At 41.9% G+C, this 17,552-nt stretch overlaps 1 long non-coding RNA gene across 1 annotated transcript; it reads left to right on the top strand.

The window, feature by feature from the left end:
* Positions 1-851: 851 nt before the first annotated feature.
* LOC124903646 (uncharacterized) lies at positions 852-17,195 on the top strand. The gene is made up of 2 exons (XR_007064997.1): positions 852-1,085; positions 15,772-17,195. It is a non-coding gene; the product is annotated as an uncharacterized LOC124903646 (long non-coding RNA).
* Positions 17,196-17,552: the final 357 nt, after the last annotated feature.

The following is a 17,552-nucleotide window of genomic DNA, read 5'->3' as shown; positions in this document are numbered from 1 at the left end:
TACCCGCCACCTCTACAGAACCTCATGCATGTATTGCTCATTGTTGGAAGGCAGAGGGCACATGGCCATGTAAAGCAGTTCTGATACCATGTAGCCATCAAAAAAGAATGAAATCATGCCCTCTGCAGCAATATGGATGGAGCTGGAGACCAGTATCCTAAGTGAACTATTATAACTCACAAAGAGAAAACCAAATGCCACAGGTTCTCACTTATACCTGGGAGCTAAACAATGGGTACCCATGACATAAAGATGGAAATAATAGACACTGGGGACTCCAAAAGAGGGGAAGTAGGTTGGGTGGGGCGAGGGTTGAAAAAGTACCTATGTTACTTTGTTGGTTACAATGTTACTTTGTTGGTTACATTGTTGGTTACAATGTTCACTGTTTGGGTAATGGATACACTGGAAGCCCAATCCCCGGTAATACACAAGATACCCATATAACAAACATGTACATATATCCCCGAATCTAAAATTTTTTTAAAAAAGCAATTTCGAGGATGCCGAGAAGCCCAGCAGTGTTCAGATGGCCTCTAAGTCTGCCAAGCAAGTGATGACTATTCCTCCCCAGTTGGGGAATGCAAAGCCAGCAGGAAACATTTATATTCTGCAACTGTTAAATTATGGATATTTGGCTTGGTGGAAAAGAGGGTGGCCGAATCATGTGCGTGAAGCACATTTGATATGCGTCCATCTGGGCTCTTGCTATTCTTGACGATGATTGTACGGAGTTCCTCCCTCCACCCTGAACACCTCCTCTGTTCTCCTCAAAGGCCTATGGTGGCTATTTACCAAATATACTGCACCATGTCCCCTTTAAGCTACTGAATGTTCAATCTGAGAACCTCCCTTTCATACCGGGAGGGAAGAGGATGAGGAAGGATAGGGGAGAGGGGTGAAGTCCCCACGATGTGCCTAGTGCTGTCCACCGGTGCTCTGATGTATTTTACTGAACAACACTTGTTGGTAGGAGGAGTAACCATATTTTTGGACTGGGATAGACTCTTTTTGTTGGCAATGACTTTATTTTCCACCCCCGGGTCTGCCCCTCTTAAAGCACTTAAAGCAGTGCCTGGTACAAGGTAAGGACCATGTAATTGTCAGCTATTATTATTCTTGCTGCTGTTGTTGTTCTTTGGCTCAGCTGGGCTGTGGGAGCATCAGAGGACTTAAGAGCATCAGCTTCGGCCTTGGATGGACTAGTGTTTGCGTCTCAGCTCTGCCTCTTCCAGGCTGAGCTCTTTGGGGCATGCTATTTTCTGATTCTGTTTCCTTACCTGAGAAACGGGGGGTGAACACAAAGTTGTGAAAATGCGCTCAGCACATAGGAAGTATAGACTAACTGATAGGTCATTCTACAAGATCCTGGGCTGAGATAAAGACCTTTTACTAGCCAGAGGTGTTTTCCAGCTAGCTCTGCCAACTTTGGAAATCATCTGGTTAACTATTATTTTCTTAGATGATCGTGGAGTATCTATGATATGCCTGCTGATGTTCTAGGCACTGGGGAAGTAATGCAGAACTTATAACCTAGTTAGTAAGAGAGGAACAATGAACCAGCAAGCAATCAAAATCAACAGTTAATTTTAGATAAAGAAAACGAAGCAGAGTGATGTGATAGTGACAGGAGGCCCACAGCGGAGAGCAACATTAACTGTGTAACCAGGAAAGAGATCCATGAAGAATATCATTCGTGCTGAGAAGGGGCCAGCCAGGGAAAGCTTTGGGGATGAGGGCAGAGGGGATAACAGGTGTAGATGTTAAATGATTTTCTGGGCAAAGTCCCATTTGCTTCTGAGCCACACTTTTCTTCTCTCTAGAATAGCAAGCTATTAATTCAGAGTTGCCTGAAAGCACGACACTCTGGGCCAGGTCAACCTAAGGACACCCAACGCCTAATTAGGGACTTGGGGGCAACTCCAACTTGGGGATGAGTTGAATGGCAACCTTCATGATCAGAGAATGGTATACAGGCTGCTGCTCAATTTTGGAAAAGCCCTAAGCCCTCCTAAGTCATTGATGGATGGCTATTGGAAACCAGAGCCTAGTCACTCCCCCAGAAACAGTCCCAGACCTATCTGAGCATAGACGGATTCGGATGCAACTGGCTTCCAGCAGCTGATATAAGACATCCGTGAAGTCATTCTGCAGGCTCATCCCAGAGAGAGTGCAAGCCTCTGTGCCTGATGCATAGGTGGTGTGATTACTTATCTAGAAATAAGGCTGCAGAGGCATTTATTAACTTAGCAAAAGGTGCTGAACATCTCCTACTTGCTAGGCAATCTCCTAGATTATGGGAGTGCAAAGATGAATAACACCTATCCTATTGTCTGTTCTTTGAAAGCTTATTGTTTCATGAGGAATTGAGTCTTAGCATTTGCAGTTATTGATTGCTTGGTTTTGGCTATGCTATGTCTTATCTGTGGGGCTTTGTTTTCACATATACAACTTGACAGGACTCAACCAGGTGAGTGGTGGGGTCTTCCCAGTACTGTAGTTCCAAAGGTTAGCAAGGCAAACCAAAACAGGGCTATATGACAGCAGCAAGGAAATCAATGCTGATGGAGATAGAGGAGGCTTTTGGGAATGGGATGCAGTAGAACGGCCCTCCGTGTTGCTTATGGGCTTGCCCGTGGGTTGAAACAGGCTTAGTTTTTTAACTAAAGAAAAGGCCTTCAGCAATGCTGCTTGAGATGAATTCTCTGGTCTTGATTTTTTAAGTTAAAAAAAGGCGTATTCTTAGAACTAGTGACTGCAGAACTCACTGGTAAGTTTCCAGTCACATTTCAGATTGAATTTGGAACAGATGGCTTTCAAGTAAATGGAAAAAAAGTGGTGATAAGGAATCAGCATGAATTCAGAAAGCAAAAGCCATTCATGAATTAATTTAACAAATATTTTTTGAGAATATTTTATGTGTATGTGCCAGGCACTGTTTTAGGCACTGGGGATATAGCAATGACTAAAACAATTAAAAATTGATTTTCTTCTCTTATGGTAGTTTACTTTCTACAGGGGATGGGGGTCGGGGCAAGCAGATAGCAGAAAAGATAAATAAGTAAAATGATATAGAGCGTGATATGATAATAAGTCAAATGGAGAAAAATAAAGCAGAGAAAGAAATAGGGTTGCTGTGATTTCTTTATTTTTATTTTTATTTATTATTTTACTTTTTAAAAAGTCAGGTTTATTGAAGTTTAATTTCCATACAGTACAATTAACCTTTCTTTCTTTTTTTTTTTTTTCTTTTTGAGACAAAGTCTCTCTCTGTTCCCCACGCTGCAGTGCACTGGTGCAATCTCAGCTCTCTGCAACCACTGCCTCCTGGGTTCCAGCAATTCTCCTGCCTCAGCCTCCTGAGTAGCTGGGACTACAGGCACGCACCACCACACCCACCTAATTTTTGTATTTTTAGTAGAGACGGGGTTTCACCATGTTGGTCAGGCTGGTCTCGAACACTTGACCTCATGATCCACCAGGCTTGGCTTCCCAAAGTGCTGGGATTACAGGTGTGAGCCACCATGCCCGGCCCAATTTACCTTTTTATATGTAGTCGGATGAATTTTGGCAAACACATATAGTCATGTAAAGACCTCTACAATAACAAGATATATATTCCAGCATCCCCCCAGTACTCTTCCTTACTTCTTTTCATAGTTTTTCCCTCACTTCCAGCCTGACAATGACTAATGTGATTTTTAACTTTATCGTTTGCCTTATTTGGAATAGAATCATACAGTATAAGCATTTAAGTCTGGTTTCTGGTTTCTTTCTTTTTTCTTTTTTTTTTTTGAGACGGAGTCTTGCTCTGTTGCCCAGGCTGGAGTGCAGTGGCGTGTTCTTGGCTCACTGCAAGCACTGCCTCCTGGGTTCATGCCGTTCTCCTCCCTTGGCCTTCTGAGTAGCTGGGACTACAGGTGCCCGCCACCACACTCGGCTAATTTTTTTGTATTTTTAGTAGAGACGGGGTTTCACGGTATAAGCCAGGTTGGTCTCAATCTTCTGACCTCGTGATCCGCCCCCCTCGGCCTCTCAATCCCTGTGCTGGGATTACAGGAGTGAGCCACCGTGCCCGGCCTTCTGGTTTCTTTCACTTGGCATACTGCGTTTGATACTCATTTATGTTACATGTATCTGGTTTGTTCTTTACATTGCTGAGTAATATTCCATTGCATGCATGTACCACAATTTGCTTATCTATTCACTAGGTAATGGACATTTGGATTGTTTCCAGTTTTGGTAATGATAAATAAATCTGCTATATACATTCGTGTACAGCTGGACATGTTTTCATTTGTCGTGAAGGGTGGAATTAGGAAGTGACTACTTAATAGTTATGAGATTTCCTTTTGGGGTAATGAAAATGTTTTGGAATGCGACCAAGGTGATGGCTGCACCACATTCTGCATGGACTGAATGCCAGTACCCTGTATATGTTCAGACAGCTAACTTTATGCTATGTGAATTTTATCTCATTTTAAAAAAGAGTTATCAGGAAAGGATTCTGAAAAACAGACAGTTGATAAGGATCTGAAGGAAGAGCCAGGCAGAGGGCAGGGCAAATGCCAAGTCTCTGAGGAGAAGACTGCCTGGGTTGGCTGATATGATTGGAGTACAGTGAACATGGAGGCATTTGAAGACGAGGTTAGAAGAAAAGTGGGGGCAGGTAACTCATTTAAAAATTATGAAAATAATGAAAAATATTAAAGTATAATGAAAAATATTAAAATATAATAATATAATAACAATATAAAATATAATAATATTGAAATTATGAAAAATAAAAATAATGAAACATTTAAAAATATGTATTTTTTAATAATGAAAAATATTAAAAAATACGTATTTTTCTTTTTCGTAAGGTGACCAGACTGGCCATTCAGGAAAAACAAGGGGCAGCCTTGCATGATGTCTTTTGAGATATATTGGTGGGAGAGATGGAGAGATAGGGGCTCCTGGTTTCAGGGCAACTTGTACATGACCATGCCTCAATTGTGCTGCTCAAAGGATTCACGCCAACCAAGTGTGTCCAAGAAAATAACACACCTGGAGAACTGTGTTTAGTTCCGAGAGTCACATGTTTTCTGGAAGCCTATTTATAAACAGGAATGTGTTTCAGGGAGGTAGAAAGGATGGTGAGGAGACCCTCAAAGACATGAGTCATGACGAATGGTTAAAGGAATTGGGGATGTTTGACCAGGAGAAGGAAGGTTTTGGGGGACTTGATTGCCTCTTCAGGTGTTGGAAAGGGGCAGGGGTGAGACCTCTTGTTGTGTGGTTTTAGAGGGAAGAATTGGAATCAATAGATACAATCCAAGTTACAAGACCCAGATTTAGTTTCAACACAAGGAAGAATCTCCAGCTGCAGGAAGTGAGTTTCTCAGCCCTAAAAATGTTTGAGAAGAACCTCACTCCCTCAGTGAATTTCTTCATTGAGAATTAAAATTCTCCAATTCTGATCTTTCCCATGGAAAGCAGACTAGAGATTTTACTTGTTATGTTTTTTCTTAACGCTTACCTATTTATCACTTATCATTAAGATTAGAAAGGGGCGGGCTTCTGCAACCCAAAATTTCCTACCCAAGTTTGCAAAATGGATTTATCATAATATTGACTCAGAATAATCCTCAACTGACCATTAAAATATTCGTTTTAAGAGCAATTGCCTGCACATTTAAGACATTTCAAGCAGTAAGCATCCCTCTACCTCTGAGTTCTAGAGTCCTTTGTTATTCTGAGACAACCACAGGAATCAGGTTTTTGAGGCTCTCTCTAGAGACCACAGTGTCTTCGCAAGCATGTATAGATGTTGGGGGTTTGATGAGAGTGAAGATATGACAGTCTTCTTTGCCCCTTCCAAGCTCTGAACCATCTGAGGTAGGACATGTGGCTGCAGGGAATCAAAACAACAGGTTTACTGCTGTTGGTGCTGCTGCAAAGTTGCTATAAGGATAGGGAGAGAGAGGCGGAAGTGTTAAATGAAACAATTCCCTCAACATGGAAGTAAACAGAGAAAGTGATGGATTAGTGTTCCTTTAACCATGTATTTAAATCTCTGTCCTTAAAATTACAAGTAGTAACTTATCATTCATGTTGTTCTACACCTTGCTTTTTGCACTTCAATAAACATCTTCAAGACTGCTTCATCTCCGTGCAATGCCATAGAGATCCCAATTCTTTTGACGAGATGTAGGGAATTCCATTAATTGAATAGATCATAATTAGTTTAGCCATCCCCTACTGATGGACATCTGGGTTGTTTGCCATTTGTAGCTTTTACAAATAATGTTGCAATAACTATATTTATGCATACATGCAAATACACCTTGATCTACCACCTGGCTGGCAGATTAACCAGAGCTCTCGGGACCAGAGCTTAATTACTAATAGTGTGGGTTCCCATAGAGACTAGGTAATGAATGTTAATTACATCAGAACATGCTTATCTCTTTTTAAGGGAGATCATATTTCAATAGTTAGAATTCTCAACTACTGAGATTTATGTTTGATAAATTTTGTGCCTTCTTGATTGTGAACTTGTTAATGATCCGTGGTGGTGAAACTAGTGCTGTCAGACAGACAAAGTTTCAGGAAGCGTGCAAATTTTCAAAGATCCTTGACTTACTTGGGAACTGCCAAGTTCTCTCTATTCCTTTATTTGTTCCTTTGATTCAAGGGGCTTGTAATAATAATTAAACAAAGCCTATGCATGATGTTAGGTGTCTGGTATCAGATTGCTCAGGTTTAAATTTTGGCTTTGCCTTTTATTGGTTTCATCATCTTAAGAAATCACTTGTCCTCCCTCTATAACAGTTTCTCAGACTTGACCCTATTGACATTTGGGGCTGGATCATTCTCTTTGCTGGGGTTGTCCTGCACATTGTAGGATATTGAGTGGTATCTTTGGTTTCCATCCACTCGATGCCAGCAGCACTCCCCCTCCCACTAGTACAACAACCGAAAATGTCTCTAGACATTGTCAAATGTCCTCTGCAGAGAGAAGAATCAGCCCTTATGGAAAACTACTGCTCAATAAGATTGTTTCCTCATGTGTAAAACGGAGATTACATTAATACCTACTGCATAGGGCTGGTGTGAAAGTGTATGTAAAGCAGTTAGCACAATAAAATCTTGCTGCTCTTTTGCTCTTATTTTTGTTCTTATTGGGCATTTGCAAGCTGAAAAGCATGTTCTCAAAACTCAATAGCCTTGTCAGAGAGGTGGTATTGTTCTCCTTCTAAAGAGGAGGAGCTGAGAGTCAGATCAAGGGAACGAAACAGTGGTAGAGTCATGAGAAGTTAAGACAGGCCATCAGAGACTGTCTTTAGTGTAGGTTCTTTGGAAAACAGAGTCTGTATTCCTGTTTAGAGTAGGAAAGCACACTCATATCATGGGTGTGTGTTAATTCTGTTAAGAATGAATTCCTGTCTTCTTCAGCATGTTAGAGGTTTGATGCAACAAACTTTCTACCAGGTGGCTGTATGGCCTGCTTAAATAATTGGGCCATCCTGAAGCCTCAGAGAATCAATAAGTCTCTACTGACGCAAGATTGGCCACTGAGCAGTAGTAGTATCTAATTAGCCTTGGGGAGAGGAACACAGGCTGTTGGGTCCATGCATTGCCTCTATCCCAGGCATCATTGCAGGTGGCTAGTAGACTGACTGTTGAAGACCTAGGCTGGTCTTGGTTGGAAGATCTAGGCTGGTCTTGGTTGGAAGATGTAGGCTGGTCTTGATTGGAAGATCTAGGCTTGTCTTGGTTTGGGCAACCAGAGCACCTTATATAGCACTGGTCCTGAGTCATGGGTAGCCCATCAGACGTATGTTCTTCAGATGTCTCTCATCACCCATGAGATGAGCCTAGGCGTGTTCTCATGTCAGTTGGTGAGGGGCATGAGAAAGAGGAAGCTCAGCTGAGCCAGTGTTTATCAAGCTTCTGCTTCTATCACATTGGCTAACATCCCTTCAGCAAAGCAAGTCACATGGTTGAGCTCAGAGCCGTGCGATGGTGCAAACGCTCCACCTTTAGGAGCAGGACATTACAAAGTTATATAGCACAGGCCTAGGACACAGGAAAGAGCCAAGAATGTGGGTGATTTTTGCTATATGCCTTAATCCACCATATAACAATCAACCAAGGACCAGGAGCCAGGAGGGGCTGAGCAGATTTGGGGAGATGCATCAATTAGGTCTGGTATAAGCTCATTCTATGATTCTGCAGTTGCCTCCATACTCATTAAGAAGAGACTAGACTTTATTGCCTCTAAAGTCCTTTCAATAGAAGGCTTTTGTTTGAAATACCTGGTGACACCATCTGATGGGTTGCCCATGACTCAGGACCAGTGCTATATAGCCAACGCTATGTCCGCTTAACCCTACTGGTCATGTCTAGGGTTAAGATAATCCCTAAATGGAAGTAGGATATTGGCTGCTTAGATAGAGACTCACAGGGGTCTTTGAGGTTAAGATGAGTAATCAGAGATGCTGAATATTACCCAAAGGAATAGTTTGAATTGTTGCATGGAATTAGACTAAATTTAATTTTTTTTCTTGCTACCTAGTAGGTGGGGGCTCAGGGGAAAGACCAGATCTGTAATAAAATAAACTATATGTTTTTTCATGTCTGAGGAGTAATGTGTGTGAACTTAAAATCCCAAATCATTTGTATACTCATTTTTTTTTGGCGGGGAGAGAATTGAGGAGCAAAGAGATTCTTCAGCCTTAGGGTATCTGATAGCTATAGAACCTCAAAAATTGAAGAGCCTTCAAGCTCCCAGAAAGCACAAGCAAGATTTTTGGCTTGTCATAAATAGCAATAGGCCTGTTGAGGCTGTGAAAATAAAGCTTGGTTCCTTCGTAGGGTAGTGGGAAGAAGAATGGGAAACAAACTTTATTTTCATCTACCATTGATAATTGATAGAGTTTTTGTTGTTGTTTTTGTTTTCTTGTTTGTTTGTTTTTTAGACGGAGTTTCGCTTTGTCTCCCAGGCTGGAGTGCAGAAGCACAATCTTGGCTCAGTGTAGCCTCCATCTCCCAGGTTCAAGCAATTCTCCTGCCTCAGCCTCCCAAGTAGCTGGGATTACAGGCACACATTGCCATGCTTGGCTAATTTTGTAGTTTTAGTAGAGATGGGGTTTCACCATGTTGGCCAGGCTGGTTTCGAACTTGTGACCTCAAGTGATCTGCCCACCTTGGTTTCCCAAAGTGCTGGGATTACAGGCCTGAGCCTCTGTGCCTGGCCTGCTAGAGATATTTCTATAGGTTGCATCTGAATTCACCAAACTTCTGGAATAAACTATCTTGTTTTTCTGTTTGGATAAGGGTGACAGATTTGAAGTGGGACGCATAAGTGTCTAGTAAGTTGTTTTGCTCTACTAATTGCTTACTGAACATATTAATGCATGGGACACTGACAAATTATCCTACACTCTGACTATAAACTCTAAAAACATCTTTACACAAAGACCCATGTGCAAGCATATTGATATAAAATTGTTTGTAATGGGAAAATATTAGATACAGCCTGCTTGTATTTAATATTAAATTATCCTACACTCTGACTACAAACTCTAAAAACATCTTTACACAAAGACCCATGTGCAAGCATATTGATATAAAATTGGTTGTAGTGGGAAAATATTAGATATAACCCACTTGTATTTAATATTAAATTATCCTACACTCTAACTACAAACTGTAAAATCATCTTTACACAAAGACCATGTGCAAGCATACTGATATAAAATTTTTTGTAATGGGAAAATATTAAATACAACCTACTTGTCCATTAGTAGAAAACTGGTGAAAAAATGATGGTTCATCCAAATAATGGAATAATAAAACATACAGTAATAACAAAACAGCTATTAAAAGGATGAAACAGATCTATGCATACTGAAATGAAACAATCTTTAAGATATATTATGAAGAATTCTGTGTATAGTATGCTTCCATTAGTGTAAAAATGAGCCTATAGCTATATATCTATATTTACATCTGTATCTGTGTCTATACATATACCTACATCTATACCTATACACATCTAAAACCATGTTTATAGCTATTGTGTTTATTTTTAATAAATAGAATATTTTTGTCAAGATTTATCAGAATCTCGTACTCTTTGCTGCCTTTATGGAGAAGAACTGGGTGGAGGTTAGGGAATTAGACACAGAAGGAAAATTACTCTTTATTTGAAATCCATTCATTCCATTTGATTTAAAAAATTATTTGCATGAATTACTTAAAAAATTTTCAGATTAGAAACCATTGGATTAAAATATGAATTTTCAAGATAATACAAAAAAAGCCAATCATATGCAGACACATGGCACCTGGGGTTGAAAGTTAAAATCAATTAACCAGGCAGAATCTGGTTTTTACTAAACTGCAGCTGTAGGGTTTAAGGTTTTAATCTTCTTTCTAAGCTGCCAGACATAAAGAGAGAACCCAACTTTAATCCAAGTTCAGTTATTTTGGGCCGAATCAAAATGAAGGGGAGGGAAGTCCATGAGGGGGCGGGGAGAGGCTTCTGATCCTTTTGTCTCATTAATTCAGCACCCAAGCACCTTCTGGTGATGTACACCAAGGCTTGCTGAGAAACCTTGAAAAAACCTGGAGGGCAGAAAAATAGGGAAAAGGAAGCTGCATTTCTGAAGTATTTTTTGGTTTCAGGAACTTTTTACAAAGGTGGTTTTCTTCATTCTTAGAAGACCTCCTTTTTTTTTTTAAAATAATTTCAACTTTTACTTTAGATTCAGAGGGTACATGCACAGCTTTGCTACATCGGTATAATGTGTGATGCTGAGGTGTGAGGTACAATTGATCCTACCACCCAGGTAGTGAGCATAGTACCCAATAGTGTCTCTCTCTTTCTTTCCTTCCTTCCTTCCTTCCTTCCTTCCTTCCTTCCTTCCTTCCTGCCTTCCTTCCTTCTCTCTTTCCTTCCTTCCTTCTCTTTCCTTTTCTCTTTCTTTTTTCTTTCTTCTTCCTTCCTTTCTCCTTCCTTCCTTCCCTCATTACTTTCTTTCCTCTTTCTCTTTCTTTCTTTTTTCTTTCTTTCTTTCTTTCTTTCTTTGTTTTTCTTTCTTTTTCCCCTTCCTTCCTTCCTTCTCTCTCTCTTTCTTTTTCTTTCTTTTTTTTTTTTTTTTTTGACAGAGTCTTGCTCTGTCTCCCATGCTGCAGTGCAGTGGCTCATTCTTTGCTCACTGCAACCTCTGCCTCCCTGGTTCAAGTGATTCTCCTGCCTCAGTCTCCTGAGAGGCTGGGATTACAGGTGCGTGCTCTACCACACCTGGCTAGTTTTTGAATATTTAGTAGAGATGGTGCTTCACCATGTTGGCCAGGCTGGTCTCGAATGCCTGACCTCAATGATCTGCCCGCGTTGTCCTCCCAAAGTGCTGGGATTACAGGCATGAGCCACAACACCCAGTCACCCCACTAGTTTTTCAATCCTTTCACACCTCCATCCATACCCTCCAGGTAGTCCCCAGTGTCTCTTGTTGCCATCTTTATGTCCATGATTACCCAGTGTTTAGCTCCCACTAATAAGTGAAAACATGTGGTATTTGGTTTTCTGTTCCCGCATTAATTCACTTAAGATAATGGCCTCCAGGTGCATCCATGTTGCTGCAAAGGACGTGATATTGTTCTTTTTTGTATGGCTGCATATTATTCTATGGTATATATGTACCACATTTTCTTTATCCAATCCACCGTTGATGGGCATCTAGGTTGATTCCATGTCTTTGTTCTTGTAAACAGTGCTACAGTGAACGTGAAAGTGCATGTGGCTTTTTGGTAGAATGATTTATTTTCTTTTGGATACATACCCAGTAATGGGATTACTGAGGATCCCCATTTTGTATATGAGGAAACTTCGAGGCTTAAAAGGGTAAGGGGATTTGTCCAATGTCATCCAGCTAGTAAGCAGGAGAGCTAGGATTCAAGCCCGGGTCTGTATGGCTCATCAATCTTGTGATCTTTCCACTACATTTTGATTTGCCTGTTGAGGTTTGTCTGGAGTAGAAGGGGTGGGGCCAGCTCCTGGGCATCATGGTAAGCCATGAGATAAATGAGACACATCCTCCTAGAGCATCAATTATTTATGATGAAAGGTAATATAAAATTAACTTCTATAGGTGTGATATGAAATCGAATGTAGAAGTCACATGAGTTTTTAAGAAAAACTTCACATGAATTTTTAAGAAAAACTTGGAGATGTCAGAGAAATTCCTTGTTTGTTTCACAATCCTTTCCCCATAGCCTCTGAGCATTTGTTCTTTGTGATAAGCAAATGTCATGGGCACTTCATGGTACCACCTTCCAAAAACCAGTGGAGTGTGTGTGTGCCCATCCCAAAGGCTACTGTGGATTGTAAATCCACCTTGAGACCAGACTAAGGGGTCCAGAGGTATCAGGTATGGAAGTCAAGAGGATTCGAAGGAGTGGAGGAGTGCCTTCAATGTGCAAATACATAATATCAGTTATTGGATAGAAATTCTGTAAAGTCCTGTGTTTTATCCAACCCAGAGGGGACTCTTTAGAGTCAGGCAATGTCTGGAAGCAGTATGGTGAAGATAAGTCAGAGATGCAAACTATGTGCTGGACCATACCACTGCTCCTCAGTCCCGTGTCTATGGCAGAACTTGCCAATCAATTGCAACACATATACTCCACTGAGCAAGGATTCAGCCTCATGATTTACCCTAATATAGCCCTTCTGATCTCTACCATAGGGTAAATGGAATTGTCATTTGCAATGAAAATCTATCTGCCACATGAGACTTAAGTATAGTGGCTAAAGCCAGCATTTGGGAGCCATACTGTCTAAGTTTGAATCCTGTCTTTGACACTTAGTAGCTATGTGGCCATGGCCAAGTCACTGACCTCTAGGAACCTCAATTCTCTCCTATACAAAATAAGAATAAAAATAGTACCTTACCTGATAGAGTTGTTATAATGATAAAATAGGTTTATATACGCAAAGGTCTTAGGACAGTTCCTGGCACACAGTACGTATTCTCAGCATGTTTATATTATGGATACAGTTGAGTAAGGCAGCTCCATGTGACAGATAAAGAAACTGAGGTTCAGAGAGGTGGAGTAGCTTGCCCAAGGTCATTCAGGTGGGAAGTGGTGGAGCTGGGGATTTGAATGCAGGTATGGGTAGCATTACTGCTATTCTTTGTGACAATCTGCATTATGAATCCCATTGTGGTCAGTTTTCCTTGCATATCCAGCAGTGTGTGTGTTGGGCTGACATGGAGATGAGGGGCACTGCCAAAGAAGCAGAATGTGGGGTTGAATGGGTGGCATGTGTTGTGAGTGGAGGAGATAGAGAGAAAACATGGAGACTCAGGAGTCTGGCCTTTGATGAAAGAATGGGTTTGCCTTTGATTCTTGAGGGCAGCAGATGGGTTAGGGTTTATGCTGTGCTTCATTACGGGGTGTGTTGGGAAGTAAGAGACATCTGGGAATCCAATTTCCCATCATTCCTTATGGGTACAAGTCAATGGATTATAAGTGAATCATTTAGCCACTAGGCAAATGGGGCTTCCAAAATAAACTATTCCCTTCCCGTCACTTCTGGGCAAGTACCTCTGTGTCTATTTGCAGTACATTGCAAAACTCGCTATCATGTGCCTCTCATTCAGAAAGAGATGCTATTGGTAGTAGAAGTATAAGTACCAGTTCTGAGCCCAGTCCCTGCAGGGTTCTCCCTTGATATTTTTGGAATCCTCCACCACTATGTGAACAAGCCCAGGCTAGCATAATGGATGATGGGAGACATATGGTCAGAGAACCCCCGCCACTGCCCCTGCTGCAGCCAGCCAACCATCAGCCTACCCCAGGAGGAAAACCATCCCCAGGCTGCCCTAACTGACCATCAATTGACCAGTGACCATCAATCTGATGGCTAATTGACCGTTGATCTCAGACACATGCATAAACCTCATTCGAGACCAGCAAATCCATCCCAGGCCAGAAGAATATCCTTGAGAACCCAATCCAAATTGCTGACCCCTGTGGATCAGAATGGTGATGGAAATAAATGATGATAGTTTTGAACCAACCTGAAGTTTTGGAGTGATTTGTTATGCAGCAACATATTACAGATACTTGAACTATGCAGGGATGGGAGGTAAAGCCCAACCAGCCAAAACAGCCAGGAGAATCCAAGGCTTAATTGTAAAAGTTTTGATTTTGCAGCTCCAATATCTAGTCAAGTTTTGCTGAATAAGGGTCATTTTAATTTTAGACTCATGTTGTCTCTGGTTTTCAAACATGGGTGGCTTTAAACCCAATGAAAACTCAGACCCATGCTTCCTTTAGCATGGCAAAGAAGGGGGCAGGGAGGATTCTCAGTGCTTTTCAATCTATAATTAGCTGCTCACAAGAGGTGATGGAGTTGGGGCAAGGAGCTGGAGCCCCAAAACCTATTCTCTCTCCAATTTTCATGAGCAGCAGGACTTTATTTTTTTTTACATATACATTAATCTAAAAATGCATCTTTGTGCACTCACTATGCTCTAGTCAAATACTTTTTTTGAAACTCTGATTGCCAAATCATTAAATGATGAGCATGTTTGTTCAGTGACAGAATCACCTGCTTTAAAAAAGTTTGAAACCCTTTGCTATATGCAATATTTTCTCAGTGTCCTTTTCGGAAGGTGGAAACATTTTCCTGGAAAGTTAATTTTGGCTCTTGTTAATTCAGAGCCATCTGTGTGTCTGCCAAGAGGCTGGCTTGGCTGGAGGAGGGGCAGGGGCTGGCTTCCTTGAGGTCTGGGGGGTTAAGTGGTGCAGGGTAGAGCTTTTGGGTGGTCTGCCTGGCTCACAAGATCACCTCAGAACCTTCCATCTGAAGTCCACCCTCATAGGTCGTGGGGAGTCCTGAACCCCAGCTTCTGGCCCAACTCCCAGCTGCTTCTTGGCATCACCCTTGCTTCTCCCTCTGCAAACCCTGAGTATTCCTTCTGGCAGTGGCTGCAGCCAGAAGGGAGCAGGCTTCCCTGACAGCAGGGAGTTTGACTGCTTCATTTTTCATTCTGCTCCTCGGCATTCTCCTGTCTTCTCTCCAAGTCCTGGCACTCAGCAGCCTGGCCAGAGAGGGAAGCACTAATCTTCCAACCCTTCCCATTCTCTTCTTTCATTCCTTTAGGTATAGATGGCTTGTTTCCTTTCCTGTTATTTCTTATGTACTTTCACACACAGGAGGCAGACATTGGATTAGAATGGAGGAGATGGGGTGCAGGAGACCAGCTCTATGACATTGAGAAAGTTATCTCTCCTCTCTGGGCCACCGTTTTTTTAATAGTGAAGAGGGGGAGTTGGCCCTAGTGCCTCTCAAACCACCTGTTTTTTGCCACCTGCACTGCTGGGACACTACCCCAGGGAGATGAAGCCTGATCCAGGCTGTAGCCGGAGACTTGCTCTCTCTTTGTTAAAAAGGAGATGAGCCAGTGTTAGACAGGTGTCAAAGACTGAGTGACACCAACCTGAGACTTCGTTGTACAGAATGAGAAAGATTGCAGACAATTGAAAGGGAGAGAACTTTCCCATTTTGTGAATCTGTGTTTTAGTGCTTTGTTTGTGTCCCACCTAAAACGATTAGCAACATTGGGACCAAAGGGGAAACGTGGGGATGGAGACCCTCGGACACCTTTTTAAGTTCTAAAGGTCTGTATTTATTTAATGTCTTTGCTCTGTATTTCTTCCAAGTCATTTAAATCCTCCTTATCTTGCTTATCATTGTGTCCTTTCCAGGTCAATGATGGACAATGAACGCCAAACGAACTTGAGAAGTGGTTGCTGAAAGGCGCTGATGTTTCCACGTGAGATTTCTGGGTCACCCTCCTGGTGACTCTTGTGCCTCTGACTTCTATCTGATCCTAAGTCCCTGTGCATTAAAATACAAGCAATTGGCTGGATGCGGTGGCTCATGCCTGTAACCCCAGCACTTTGGGAGGCCCAGGCGAGTGGATTACCTGAGGTCAGGAGTTTGAGACCAGCCTGGCCAACATGGTGAAACTCTGTCTCTACTAAAAATACAAAAATTAACTGGGCGTGGTGGCAGGTGCCTGTAATCTCAGCTACTCGGGAGGCTGAGGCAGGAGAATTGCTGGACCCCAGGAGGCGGAGGTTGCAGTGAGCCAAGATCATGCCATTGCACTCCAGCTCGGTGACAATAGCCAGACCCCGTCTCAACAACAACAACAACAGCAACAACAATAACAACAACAACAAAACACAAGCGATTGTATGCTATAGGAAGATAATTCTGGAGTTTAATTGCTTTAGACTAGAAGATGAATGGATATGCACATGTTCAAAATATCAAAAAAATGTTTTTTGGGCACTGACTTTGAGAACATTATTGCTCTAGATGCCAGGGAACGAGCAGTGAGGCAAACTGAAGGGGAGACAGACAGCAAAAATCATTAGTGTGAGGGCAGAAGAAAGACTCCCCAAGATGTCCATGTCCTCATCACCAGAACCTGTGATTACATGATGTTACATAGCAAAGAGAAACTAAGGTAGCAGATAGAATTAAGGTGGCTAATCAGATGACTCTAAGAATGTGCAAATACATAATGTGAGGTAGTGAGAGTGTCAAAGACTGAGTAACACCAACTTGAGACTTCGTTTTACATAATGAGAAAGATTGCAGACAATTGAAAGGGAGAGGATTTTCCCATTTTGTGTATCTGTGTTTTAGCGCTTTGCTTGTGTCCCACCTAAAACAATTAGCATCGCTGGGACCAGTGGGGAAACACGGGGTGTCCTCATTACCAGAACCTGTGATTACATGATGTTACATAGCAAAGAGGAATTAAGGTAGCAGATGGAATTAAGGTGGCTAATCAGAAGACTTTGGGTAGTGAGAGGGTTATCCAGTTGAACCCAAAGGGAGCACAGGGCACTTAACTGTGGAAGAGGAAGGAAGAAGCATGAGGGTCAGAGAAATGGTCCTGTGAGAGGTATTCGACCAGTCACTACTGGCTTTGAAGATAGAAGGGAACTGAGAGCCAGGGGTACAGGTGACCTCTAAAAACTGGAAAAGACAAGATGGCTCCTCCTCAAGTAACCATAGAAAGGAGCACAGCACCTTGATTTTATCCCAGTGACACACATGTTAGACTTCTGACCTCCAGAATTGTAAGATAATAAATTTGTGTTGATTTAAGCCACTAAGTTTGTGGTAATTTGTTATATTGGCAATAGGAAACTCATACAGTAGGATTCTGCATATAGGAGCAGTGCCTATCTGTGATGCCTTGATTGGGTTCCTACCAGAGCCAAGGGCGCAGATTTGATGACCTTGGGGTGTGTGTGTGTGTGTGTGTGTGTGTGTGTGTGTGTGTGTGTGTCCTGCCCCCTCAGAAGACTCGTTTGCTAAGTTATTCAGAAGTATGTCTATTTCAAGCATGAGAGTTTTCTAAGTTGCTTGCCTTTACTGAAATAAAATACCTCGGGTCATTGTCTCTCTTTCCCCGAGATAAAACCAGTCAAGCATCAAGCTGAATAATTACAACTCTCCCATGGGC

This window comes from Homo sapiens, chromosome 16 (assembly GCF_000001405.40).
Source record: "Homo sapiens chromosome 16, GRCh38.p14 Primary Assembly".
In the NCBI taxonomy this organism is placed as follows: Eukaryota; Metazoa; Chordata; class Mammalia; order Primates; family Hominidae; genus Homo; species Homo sapiens.
Note: the sequence above shows the minus strand (reverse complement) of the source record. Positions and strands in the feature narration are given on the sequence as shown.